The sequence below is a fragment of the Homo sapiens genome, chromosome 15 (assembly GCF_000001405.40).
Source record: "Homo sapiens chromosome 15, GRCh38.p14 Primary Assembly".
NCBI classification, from domain to species: Eukaryota; Metazoa; Chordata; class Mammalia; order Primates; family Hominidae; genus Homo; species Homo sapiens.
The window spans coordinates 79,415,971-79,428,681 of NC_000015.10; the positions used below are offsets into that span (position 1 = coordinate 79,415,971).

The 12,711-nt window shown below is 43.2% G+C and overlaps 1 protein-coding gene across 2 annotated transcripts in view, besides 1 other annotated feature; it reads left to right on the forward strand.

The window, feature by feature from the left end:
- The window catches only part of MINAR1 (membrane integral NOTCH2 associated receptor 1), a 60,905-nt gene that overhangs the window by 4,571 nt on the left and 43,623 nt on the right, over positions 1-12,711 (forward strand). The gene's annotated exons all lie outside the window — the stretch shown is intronic.
- Positions 2,791-3,324: an enhancer, noted in NCBI's record as "NANOG hESC enhancer chr15:79711103-79711636 (GRCh37/hg19 assembly coordinates)". NCBI's record gives its function as "activates a minimal SCP1, AML or CMV promoter by ChIP-STARR-seq in naive H9 embryonic stem cells {active_cell/tissue: H9 hESC(naive)}" and the evidence as "EXISTENCE:reporter gene assay evidence [ECO:0000049][PMID:30033119]".

A 12,711-nucleotide genomic window follows, 5' to 3' on the forward strand; every position in this document is an offset into this window, starting at 1 on the left:
CCATACCTTCCAATTCTTGTTCATATGCCAAGGTAGATATTTTCTTTGTTGCAATGGTAATACACAGTATATGATTCCTTTGAAGTTTTTGTTCACATAGCGTATCTTAAATTTGTTTCTCTTTCAGATATTAATTTCATTTTAGTGGTCGAGGAACACATCATCTTAGTGAATATAGCATACTTTTCAAAATTCTTTTCTTAACACCGGAAACTTGTTTCTATCATAGCCAAAGCTGCCACAGACACCACTATGGACAGCTTTCAGAAAATGTCTCTCTTGGCTTCCTATTCTGCCTTTTTATAAATCAGTCTTAAAGTTATCAGTTCAGCCCTGAATTGGCAGCTGGTATGGAAATTTCTTGCCTGGCACATCTGGAAAGGAGGGGCTTGTTTGTGATCGAACAGATTTCTTGGCCAAAAATATTGGCCAGCCAGGATCCACTGCCCATTATGAGAAATTCCTAGCTTGCCAGCAATGTGATCTCTTTCCAGGGGTCGTAAGTCTCATCTTACCAGGACAGAACCACTTCATTAATAATGGCAATCCAGTCTGATGGGGCCATTTTCTTCAGCTTCATGGTAGTGTAGAGATCTTCAAACATCTTGTGGAGTTTGATCTCTTCAAGGCAAATACAGGGCTGAGGGGGAAACTCATTATGCAAATAATCTGAGCTATTGAAGGGCGTTAGAATAGCAAACGGGAAAAGTGAGACTAAATCTAACAATCGACCCCTGAATCTGAGTGCCACAAATTCACAGCAGTCAGCGAGGCAGGCCGAGATCATGGTGGCTGGCTGAGGAACACCGTGGTTCTACCTTCTTAGCTTGCAAGAATACCCAGTCTCTAGGACCATTGACTCCCAATCAGCATATGGTAAAAGAGGCCATTAGTGTCCATTGTGACCTCTGCTCCTCCTCTCAGCATCCTCACTACATCCATTTGGACACAGGGGAGGCCTTGACACCAGCTGACAATGAGCCCTTTCCTCAGGGCTCTGGAAAATCTCTACCTTCCCAGGGATTTGTGAAGTTTTCTTTTAGGCAGACAGCTGCCAGGCGTCACATGTGCAACACAGGTACCGTGAGCTCACCTGACTTTGTCCACCCACAGAGAGGGCCAGCAGGCTCCAACACAAGCAGGTACTCTGTCCAAGTTCACTTCTTGGCAGGAGGCTGCTTTCATCTTCTCTGCCCACTCAGACATAGGGATTTGAGTTGCAAATATTGCCAGGTTCACATAGTTCAATTACACCTCCTTAACAATCACAAGAATGTAGAATACACAGTTTAGGAAGCTGTTAATGTAAGCATCTGTCTATTAAATTGCAGATAGTTCCAGGCATCACTGCAGGATGAGTCTTATTAACCAAGGTTAATAATCCTTTCTAATCAGCACAGTATTTCTCCACTAGCGGTGGGCTTAGAAATCATCTATGGCACTTGTAAAATATGTGGATCCCGAAGACGGGCTTCTCCTCCAAAGCTGCAGGTCTTCCTGCTGAAATGGCTTGTTAGTGTCTGACTTTGTGTGGTAAATGGTACCTGAAAGGGCTTCCTCCTTCATTAATTGGAGATCTCCTCCCTGGCCATCTCCTGTGTCTTCCATCAGCTTCCCTGCATCCTTTTTATGAGGCTGCAGCAGCTGTGGTTAGAAATCATCTGTTTGCTGCTGCAGAACCAGAGTTTCTCTGTTTTACTGTTTGATCCCCTCTGCAGTGTGGGCTCTTCGCTCTTCCATCTTTAAAAGTATGGAGCAAACGCACACAGCAGGGCCAAAGGGAAAGCAGCCAGGCTTAGAGCCATCAAGAGGCCTGACCATCAGGCTATTTGGTTTAATGCTGTGGATTAAAAGTTGGTTCCTGGTAGATACAAAAGCACATGTTGGAAATGCCTGCAGAGACTTGAAAAATAGCTGCTTCTTAAGGATTTTGAACACGGGCTTGGCCGTGCTGTTGACACTGTTTATCTGCACTTTCCATGAAGCCACGATTTTACGAAGCGAAGATAAACTTTGGTCCAGTTACGGAATTATCATACATTCTAAATGAGTGTCATCCAAGTTAATGACAAGTAAAACTGTAATGCGGAGTGCAAATGCAAGGACTGGGAAAAGGTAGAATTAATCACGTGATTCTCCTTGGAGATAAAGGATGGGAAGGCTGTCAGTTGTTTATGGGAATCCCAGCAGAAAGCCCCACTCCTTTGATCACACACAGCTGCATTTAAGGCAGAAATGTGGAATTGCAGACTAGAGAGAAATTTAAAGATCATCTTGCCCAGATCTTCCATTTATAGGTAAAAAAATGAAATCAGAGAGGTGAAATGTTTGTTCAAAGTCACAGAGCAAAGCTATTAAGAGCTAAAAATAGAAGTTATTTAAGTAAGATGTTTAGGTGTAAACTGTCTTTTAAAAACACCGCTGTGAAGATTGATTTAGTGGCATTAGCATGGTTTCGCAGTCCCCTGCACCCACTCTGCCTATCCACAAACTCCATAGAAATGATATAAAATAATGTTTTGTAAGCTATTCACCCTTGGAAACCACATTGGGTACTCTCAGTGTTGAATCTGTGATGGGTCCTTGAAAGATGACAGCAGAAAGCCACCAAGGAAAGCCCTAAGATAGCAGAGGGAAGGACAGCTGGGGACACCATAAGTGAACAATTTGGGACAGAGAAATGGGGATAACATTGAGGATGCTCTTTGTCAAAAGGTGGCAAAAGCTGGGGGCAGGAGGGAGCCCGAGATTAGCAGCAGGAATGCTGTTTTCCTCCAGCCGGAAGAGTGGGTATAGATGCTTGGACTGGAAAGGACAGGCAGGGCCCTGGGAGAAAAGGGGACACTAATGCCCAGATGGACAGCTGCCCTAGGAGCCCAGCCAGCTGGCCTCACTCCATGAGCGCAGTGCATTCTGCAGGGGTGATTCCTTCATCTTCTCCCAGCCCAGCAGGAGATCCACTAACTGAGTCTTGGCTAAGAAAACGAGCCTGCAATTAAAGGCAGCAAACATTTGCAGAGAGCAAACCCCATGTAAATGAGTCAATTCATCCAAACAAAGGAAGAGTTTAATTCTAAAGGAACACATCGACCCTACTGGGACTTCAGATATAATGTGATGGGTGTTGGTTCATGCCTCGGCCATAGGCTACCCTTCTTAGCTATTGTGGGGATGGGGAGCGGTGGCATGGTGAGAGGGCAAGACCTCGCAGGAAAAGGGATAGCAGGGAAGCTGGGAGGCAGAGTATTTCCTGCCCCGGGATTATTCTCAGACTGAGCTGATAAGGTGGGAACTAACTAATCAGGGGAGCCCTGGAATAGTTTCTGGTGTCCTGGAACTCTCAGAAGCCTCATGACTCAAGATAGTCTCCACTGATATTTAAACTGAAGTGGACCACCACCAGTGTCAGATGGTGCCAGACTTCAAGTGGGATCTGAATGGGCTTGGACTTTGCAGTTGCTGCCTGTGACTGTCCACTGGCCAGCTGCGTGGGTGTCCCCCAGCATGCCCTCTAGAGATACCAGGTTTCTTTTTCTATCTAGAAATGACTGCAAGTGGAAGCTGGTAACATGTAACCCTTTATGAAGAGGGGACTTTGCTGTCTATGTGCAACAGCTTCATGTCCTCTCTCCCTCCCCCAGACAGCACATAGTTAGGACAGAAGAAAGATATTTTATAACTAAGAAGATCTTGGAAATGAAAACATGAATGCTAAAATAAAATGTTCAATAAACGAGCTGAATAGAATGACTAGAATCAAAGAGTAAATTAATAAAATATATGACTGAACTGAGGCATTCTCTCAAATCATGGTTTAAGAGAGAAAAAATACATAGCATAAAGGGAATGTTCGGAGACATGCAGGATGAATCCAAAGGCCCCCAAATCTACTTAATAACAATTTTAGAAGAAGAGAATAGAAAGAATGGTGGTGAGAAGAATACAAGATCTGAGAAAAAAAAGCTTAATTGTCTACAACCATAGAAAAGATTGAACAGGCCTACTGTTTACCAACTAGGGTGAATTAAAAAACAAACCAACAAACAACACCTGAACAAATTGTAGTGAAATTTTAAAACATCAAAGACAAAGAAAATTCTTTAAAATTCCAGAGAATAAAGATAGACTATTATGTATGAATGAAAATCAAATTTGTCTCAGTAACACTAGGTGGAAGAAGACAATGAGGAAAAATCTTTAAGATGCTGAGGGAGGGAAGAAGAAAACTTTTGATGCTTGAATGTTATATCCATTAGATTATCATTCTACAGGGAGAACTTAATATACACATTTTTAATAAGGACTCAGGTAATTTGCCTACATCATTAGGCAATGTGGGTGTTTTATCGAGCAGTGATTCTCAGACTAACTGATGTGAAATACCAGTATTTTAAAAAATGTCCAATTTACTCAAATCAATACTTTTATACAGTAAAATAAGAATAAATTTTTGGAAAAATAATTACAGGAATTACAAATTATCGCAAAAGTAATTCAGCTGTAGGCTTGGGGGAAACTTGGTGGTCCCTCTAGAGATACCAGGCTTCTTTTTTATCTAGAAATGACTGCAAGTGGAAGCTGGTAATATGTGGGCACTTTGTAAATTCATATTGAGTAAATGAATGAAATTGTGACTTCCTGAGAATTGAAACTTGGTTTCCTAACCCTAATTGATATGAGGCGAATTGCTCTATGGTGGTGTACAAACTCACCTGAAAAGGACTTTTATAGACAAATCTTCATGACCTGTTCTTGCCCCAGTTCATCACCTCTTTTACACCAAAAGGCCTACAGGGTGTGGTCACTGTTTCTTTTGGGTCATTTTGGGGTGGAAATGGTGGATGTAATGAAGCCAATAATTCAGGACTTAATTCCTTTCATGTTGTGGTTTTTTGCTCTTGCACTAGAGTACGAAATAGCTTCCAGGAGCTCCAGCTCTAAGCTTGAAAGAGTCTGTATGATTGTAATCACATGGTGACGATACTCAGAATCTACATTGGACTTCTGTTGTATTCTCATCACTCAGTTTATCTTTTAGCAGTTTAATAGGTACACTTCAGGGTCTTCCATTTTGTGTGGAATTAAATCCTCCTCTTCAAATGCTGTAAATAACATCAGTTAAAATAAAACTTGAATAAAATATTGGAAAAAAGTAATGCAGTAAAAAAATTACAGTAACAAAATAGACACACAAAAATATAAGCCAGCATTGTTTATTATTAAATTCAACATACATAAAATTACTCTGTCAAAGTGCTATGAAAGTTTCTGAATACTTACCCTGATTTGTGAATTTCTGCTATTGTGGGCAGGTAGCAGTTTGTGGGTCAGCACCAGCCTAGGATGATGATAGTGACCTCCTTATGGAGGGCACAGTGACCTGCCTGAAGATCTATCCAGAGTGAGCAGCAAAGGAAGGACTTGATCTCAGGTCTTCTCCCTCCAGGTCCAGGAGGTTTTTGATCCTCCTGCATCTTTGCCACTGCACCTACCTGAAACCTGTCTCTCTCCCTTCAGCCACAGCAGGAAGGTGTCCCTGAGGTGGGCAGTAGATCTCTCTAGACACAGCAGTCAAGCTCCAATTGAACACCTCTTGGATTTGAATGAAGTTCTAGGGTAAAGGGATGAAGAGGTCATGCCACCTCCCCCTACTCTTAGAAATGGTCTCCAAAGGGGCAAAAGCAGTTCAGAATCCATCTTTGATGAAACATGGAGTAAGTGAATGAGGGAGGGGCTTCCAAAGGCAGTGAAAGCCATATGAATGCTAGGGGTAAAGGAAGACACCAGAGGGGACACCTGCCCACCTGCCTGTACAAATCCCAGGCAAAGCGAGCACTTCTCCAGGGAAGGCAACATATCCTCAGGCCAAAACCCGGAAATGCCTTGTTTAGAGGAAAGGGAAAAGGGTGGGTCGCCTGGTGGTGGGAACTTGCCTGAAGCTAGTTTGACGTGGAGAGAAATAGTGGGAGTTTGAGTGGATGGAGACACATTGTATATGCAGTCAGCAGCCTGTTGTCAAGGTGGGGTAAGGAGAGAGACTGCACTATGAGCAGCCGGCAGGAGCTGGCCTCTGCAAAGGAAAGGAACTAAGTGAATGCTGAAACAGCCCCCATCCCCAGTGTCTCACCTCATATGACCTTGTGAACAGAGAGGGGGTCTGCCAACCTCCAGTGAGGCCCCAGCCCTCATCCCCAAACCTTCAGTGAATAACTTTTCTCAAGGAGTAAGTTCTTATTTGTTCACAGTCAGGAGGCACCACTGTAAAACATCCCTTCTGAGTTAAAGGCTTCAGATATGCAGGCCAGGCGTGGTGGCTCACGCCTGTAATCCCAGCACTTTGGGAGGCCGAGGTAGGTGGATCACCTGAGTTGGGAGTTCGAGACCAACCTGGCCAACGTGGTGAAACCCCGTCTCTACTAAAAATACAAAAAATTAGGCGTGGTGATGGGCACCTGTAATCCCAGCTACTAGGGAGGTTGAGGCAGGAGAATCACTTGAACCCGGGAGGTGGAGGTTGCAGTGAGTCAAGATTAAGCCACTGCACTCTAGCCTGGGCAACGAGAGTGAAACTCTGTCTCCAAAAAAAAAAAAAAGGGTTTCAGATATGCAGAGACAATATCACTCAGAAATGAATAACAAGATCAGAAAGAGAGGAATGGAAAAGAAAAAAAAACAAATGGCAAATGAAGAACATTCACTGGAAAAATGTTGCCACAAAATTGTGCCAAGTAGATGCCACAGTTCAAAAAGTGTAATGAAGCTGCCACTTGTATATAACTAAAGCTTAAAGGGCAGATAAGAGAGAAGGTGAGGGAAGTTTGGCCAGACCACAGAAGAAGGTAAAACATGGGCAGGTAGAACAAGAGGAAATAAAACCATTGCAGAACTGAAGTCTCAGTTGGAGGAGAGTGTATATTGGTGTAACCTCAAGGGAAGGTAAAATTTCAATATTGACAAATTAAAATTTCATATGCCCTTTGATTCAGCAGTTCCACTTTTAAGGATTTATCCTACAGGCATTTCCTTGCAAATGTGTGAAATAATATGTTCAAGTCTGTTAATTGTATTGACATTTATAACAGCAAAACTTTTGAAATGACCTATATATTCCCTTATAGAGACTCATTAAATAAATTATGGTTATCTCTACAATGGAGTATTATGCAACCATAAAACATAAGATAACTGCATGTGACTCTATATGTATCTCAAAATAAAAAGCTTAATTAAAAAATAATAAGGCAGCCTTATAAATACTGTTAGAGTAATCTCTAAAATATTATGTTGATGGTGAAACAAATTAACATGTAAGATAATGTGTATAGAATGTTAGCATTGTATAAAAAAATAACAGACTATGCTGACCTTCTTTTATTTCCTTAGTCTATCTCTGGAGGGACATATAAGAAACTGGTAAAGCAGTTGTCTCTGGACAAGGAAACTAGCTGGTTTCTTTTGAGTGTTGTAACATTTTATACCATTGTATTATTACCTATTCAAAACAATAAATTAAACAATTTATTTAACAATAACCGACACTCCTATGGCTCCTCTATGGCCCACCCTCTTCAGTGTCCCCACACCATCCTGCACTCCCTGGTCACCCTGAGTTATAAGGACTTTCTTGGCATCTGCCTTTCCCAGTGGACAGTGAGACTTTTGAGGGCAGGGACTATGTGTCACTCATCTCAGAATGGTATAAACATTCAACACGTAGGTTCTAGAATTAGGCTGCCTGGGCTGAAATCCCTGCTCCAGCTCTTCTTATCTTTGTAACCTTAGGGAAATAACTAAACCTTTCATTGCCTCAATTTTTCATCCATAAAGTGGGAATAATGGCATGACCTGCCTTATAGGATTTTTGTAAGGATTAAGTAAGATAAGTCTCAGAACACATACCTGGCATGTAACAAATTCTAGATAATTGTTAGCTTCTGTTGACATCTCTGCATTCAGATGCAGCTAACAGAGGGCCTGACATATTGGTAGCACTGGTGTTTTCACAGAATGAATAAAATGCATGCCACCCTGTGATCTGGTGCTAACAGAGCTATCTTTCTTCTGCTTAGCTGGTAGATAATTTTGGATGATTCAAGCTGTCTACCAACCTAACATCCCTGACATCATGAAGGAGGTGGTTATTTCAGTGGAAACCTGGAGGCATGCCCATCAATGCCGACCCTAAAAATATTTTTGTTTATCTCAGTGATCCAGATAACTCCATGGAAATAATGGGACTCTCAGAATGAGGCTTAGTTACCAGACATTCAGATAGAGAGACCAGGCTTTATCTGATCACAAAATAGCACCTGAAGCACCAGCAATCCCTTAAGTACCCTTTTCGATTGAGTTTCCTTTCGTTGAACTTTCCTTTTCAGGCAATATTATTTAGGTATGCTGAATTGAGATCTAATTCTTTTTGAAGTTCAGTCTAGTGGAGAAAATGTTAGAACAGCATTAGAGAACTCCCACTCTCTGAACGACGTGGTGAAGTCATTTCATTCACAGCACTGTGGCTTTCTTCTCCCATCTGTCAAGTCATGATAAAATAACAAATAAACCAAATCCCTGCTGCAGCGTGAGGATATTATAAGGTTAATGTTAAGCTTGGGCTGGGAAGTGCCCAGATAAAATTGCATGAAAGTACAGAGATGATTCTATAAACATGTGCTGAGCACCTATTATGTGCTGGGTCTTGCATTTAGTTGTGGGGACTTGAAAATGAAAGAGATTCATGCTCGGTAATTTTTACAAGAACATCGAACTCACTTGGCAAATATTTACTGAGCCCCTACTGTATTTCAGGCACTGTTTTAGTGCTTGGGATATATCAGCGACCCAAATCCACAAAAATTCATTCTTTTGCTTTCCAAGTCACTTGGATGTTATTGGATGCTTGGGTGCTGTGGAGAAGAAATAGAAGGAAGGCCTAGATACTTCTTCCCAGGATGCAAGTTTCAACACTCATGTTTCAACAAAAACAATGACATCTATAAATTATATAAGCATTAGTGTGCAATTATTGTCGTAAAAAGGAGGAGTCATGGTTCTTCTTTTGTTTGTTTGTGTTTTTTTTTTTATTTTTTTGAGACAGAGTCTCACTCTATCGTCCAGGTTAGAGTGCAGGGGCACCATCTTGGCTCACTGCAGCCTCTGCCTCTCAGGTTCAAGCTATTCCCCTACCTCCGTCCCCCAAGTAGCTGGGACTATAGTCATGCGCCAACACGCCCGACTAATTTTTGTATTTTTATTAGAGATGGGGTTTCACCATGTTGGCCAGGCTGGTCTTGAACTCCTGACTTCAGGTGATCTGCCCACCTGTCAAGGTGCTGGGATTACAGGCCTGAGCCACCGTGCCAGGCCCATGGTTCTTCTTTAACAATGTATATAACTGTCATCCCATTTGAACACTGCAAGTTAATAGGTGACTGTAAGTTAAATGGTAATGCCCAAAATATATTGATTTCCCCACTTACCCCTGTACCAGGACAGCATGTCTCATTCCTCCCTCACCTCACATGATGAAATTAGAATCTCAAACCATGGACAAAGCTCCTTTCCCCTCTCCACTGTTTCCTCCTTTATCTCTCATTCATGGCAGCTCAACCAACAAGCCTCACTCGTTTGGAGGTAAAAATTGGCAGCCAGGATGACTGGGGACTCTTCCCCAGACATCCAGGAATCCTTGAGCATTGGAGTGGCAAAGGTCTCTAGGAAACATATGGTGTAGCCTCTTCATTCGACAGCTGAGGAAACAGAAGTCCAGAGACTGCAGTGCCTTGGCCAAGGTACCAGAGCCAGACACGAGAGAGCCGGGCCTGGAACCCAAGCCTCCTGCCTCCTTGGTCAGTACACCACACTTTAGCCCCTGTGTTGTACAATAGGCCCTGTATCCTGCAGAGGAGAGGGAAGCATCAGGAAGCTCTTGTGGCCTGGTGAGTTCTGTTTCATCATGGCTGGACACTCGGAGCTGGATCTCAACGCAGCTGTCCTGTCTGGGACTTCCAGGGCATGATCATTTCCAAGAGTCAAAAGCCAATCTCTCATGCACCAGTCAGGACTCTGGGTTGCCAACATCAGACACTGACTCTGGCGTGCTTGGAGAGTGAAGGAATCTACTGAACGGATATCAGGAGCTGACAGAATCAGTGGTGGGGCCAGAGAATCAGTATCGGAAAATATGCATGCAGGAACTGAAGGAAACTGGGGGAGTTGGGGGGCTGGAATCACTGCCAAGGTCGTGCCACAGGAAGAGGCTGTTTAGGCTCTGTTGCTCCCACTACTGGACTCAGACCATTGTACCCTGGATGCCACTACCACTAGGGGTGGGACGATTTTCAGACTGTCACCAGATTCTTTCACATCGTCCCTGGCTTCAGATTCACAGCCTCAGGCAAAAGCATTGGGTTGGCCAAGCTCGGGCCACTTGCCCGTGCCCATGCTGTCAAGGTTCAGGAGAAGAGAGGCTCTTGAAATTTCACTATGGCAGCTTCCATTGAAATAGGGAGAGAATTTGGAATCTGGGCAGCCAAATAACAAAAAACGAATATCCTCTGCATCTGCCAAACAGGCCACCACAGCAGCCTCTGCTTGGAAAGGCCATTTGCAAAGCAGGAGAGTAGAATTCAGTGGAGCATGGATTAACTCAAGCTGTAGTATGCTCAGCCTGGCTCCCTGGGACCAGCCTTCTGAAGGGGACCATGGGTACTGCTATACTCACCTTCGTCTAGAGAGGCCCCTAGTCTCCAGCCTGACTCAAGGAAGCTCCTAGACAGCATAGAGATGCTCTGAACTCCAGGCCGTATTTTAGGAAATTTAGGAAGTAACCCTTTGTGAGCACTGGGCTGCATTCAGAAGAACTCAGTTCTAGTTTCAGATTCATTTATAATTCACAGCATCACTTAGAAGTTTATAATTCCTACCATTTGTCCCAGCAATCCATTATTGGGTATAGACCCAAAGGCAAATAAATAGTTCTACCATAAAGACACATGCACACGTATGTTCATTGCAGCACTATTCACAATAGCAAAGACATGAAATCAACCTAAATGCCCATCAATAGTAGACTGGATAAAAAAATGTGGTACATATGCACCATGGAATACTATGCAGCCATGAAAAAACAAGATCATGTCCTTTGCAGGGACATGGATGGAGCTGAAGGCCATTATCCTTAGCAAACTAATGTGGGAACAGAAAACCAAATAATGCATGTTCTCACTTATAAATGGGAGCTAAATGATGAGAACTCATGGACACGAAGAAGGGAACAATGGAGGCTGGGGCCTACTGGAGGGTGGAGGATGGGAGGAGGTAGAGGATCAGGAAAAATAATGAGTACTAGGCCTAATACCTGGATGACAAAATAATCTGTACAACAAACCCTCATGACACGAGTTTACCTATATAACAAACCTGCATATGTACCCCTGAACCTAAAATAAAAGTTAAAAAATCAGAAGTTTACCATTCCTTCTGGATCTCATTTTTATGATTGGCAATCTGCTACTATCAATCTCTACCCATTTAACTCACAACAAAGTGTTAAGAGCTGGGGAGTGGCTCTATATTCCACTTCACTCCAAATTTGTGTCTCATAAACCTATTGTTGTAGCTAAAGTCCTGCCACTCGTGGAATTCCTCTGGGAACAGATATTATATCAAAAAGTGTTTCCCTAGGAAGTGAAGTAGAGGTTAGAAGCTACTGTTCTACTGCCTGAAAATTATATCTTAAATGATCTCTGAGATTTATTTGTGCATGACATATATCCTTTTAAGTGCTTATATAAGATACAGGACAACTGAGGCTTAATAGAATGAGATCTAAAAAACTCTGGGTTCAGGGTGAAGTCACTAAGTGCTGTCCTGGCAGGTGACAACCCTGGAGTACCCAGGAGAAATACAGATACAGGATTCTTGGGCAGCTCAGAGGAGAATCAGAGAGGGAGCTGCTAAGCACTAATCACGGGGTACCCATGCCAATGACATGATTGTAAAAATGTGTACTGCTTGCCGTTTTGTCGGCCAGCAAAGCAACATCTTCTCTCAGGATCCAAAAGGAGATTACAGCTCAGCCTTTCAGCCCAGAGGAGGAAACAGTTTTCCCGTGCCCAATTCCTTGTTCACTGGTACATTCAAGCTTATGCCTAGATGCCAAGATGAAAGTCCTTCCTTCCTTCCTTCCTTCTCTCCCTCCTTCCTTCCTCCCTCCCTCCCCTCCCTCTCTTCTTCCCTTCTTTCCTTCCTTTATTCCCCCTCCCTCCCTCCTCTCCCTCCCTCCTTCCCTCCTTCCTTTCTTCTCCCTCTCTCCCTCCCTCCCTCCTTCCTTCTTCTCTCCCTTCCTTCCTCCCTCCCTCCTCTACCTCCCCCATCCCTCCTTGCCTCCTTTTCTTCTTTCTTCCCCTTCCCTCCCTCCTCTCCCTCTCTCCCTCCCTCCCTCCTTCCTTCATTCTTTCCTTCCTTTCTTCCCCTTTCCTCCCTCCCTCCTTCCCTCCCTCTTTCCCTCCTTTCTTCCCCCTCCCTCCCTCCTTCCTCCTTCCCTCCTTCCCTCCCTTTTCTTCCTTCCTTTTGTTTTTTCTTTCAGCCTGCCATTTTCAGTCACAAACTTTTGCGGAATACCTGTTATGAGGCTTCCACTTTCCATTTATCTCATCTTCCCAAAAACTCTATGAAATCTCTTATTACACTTTTATAGATGATAAAACTGAA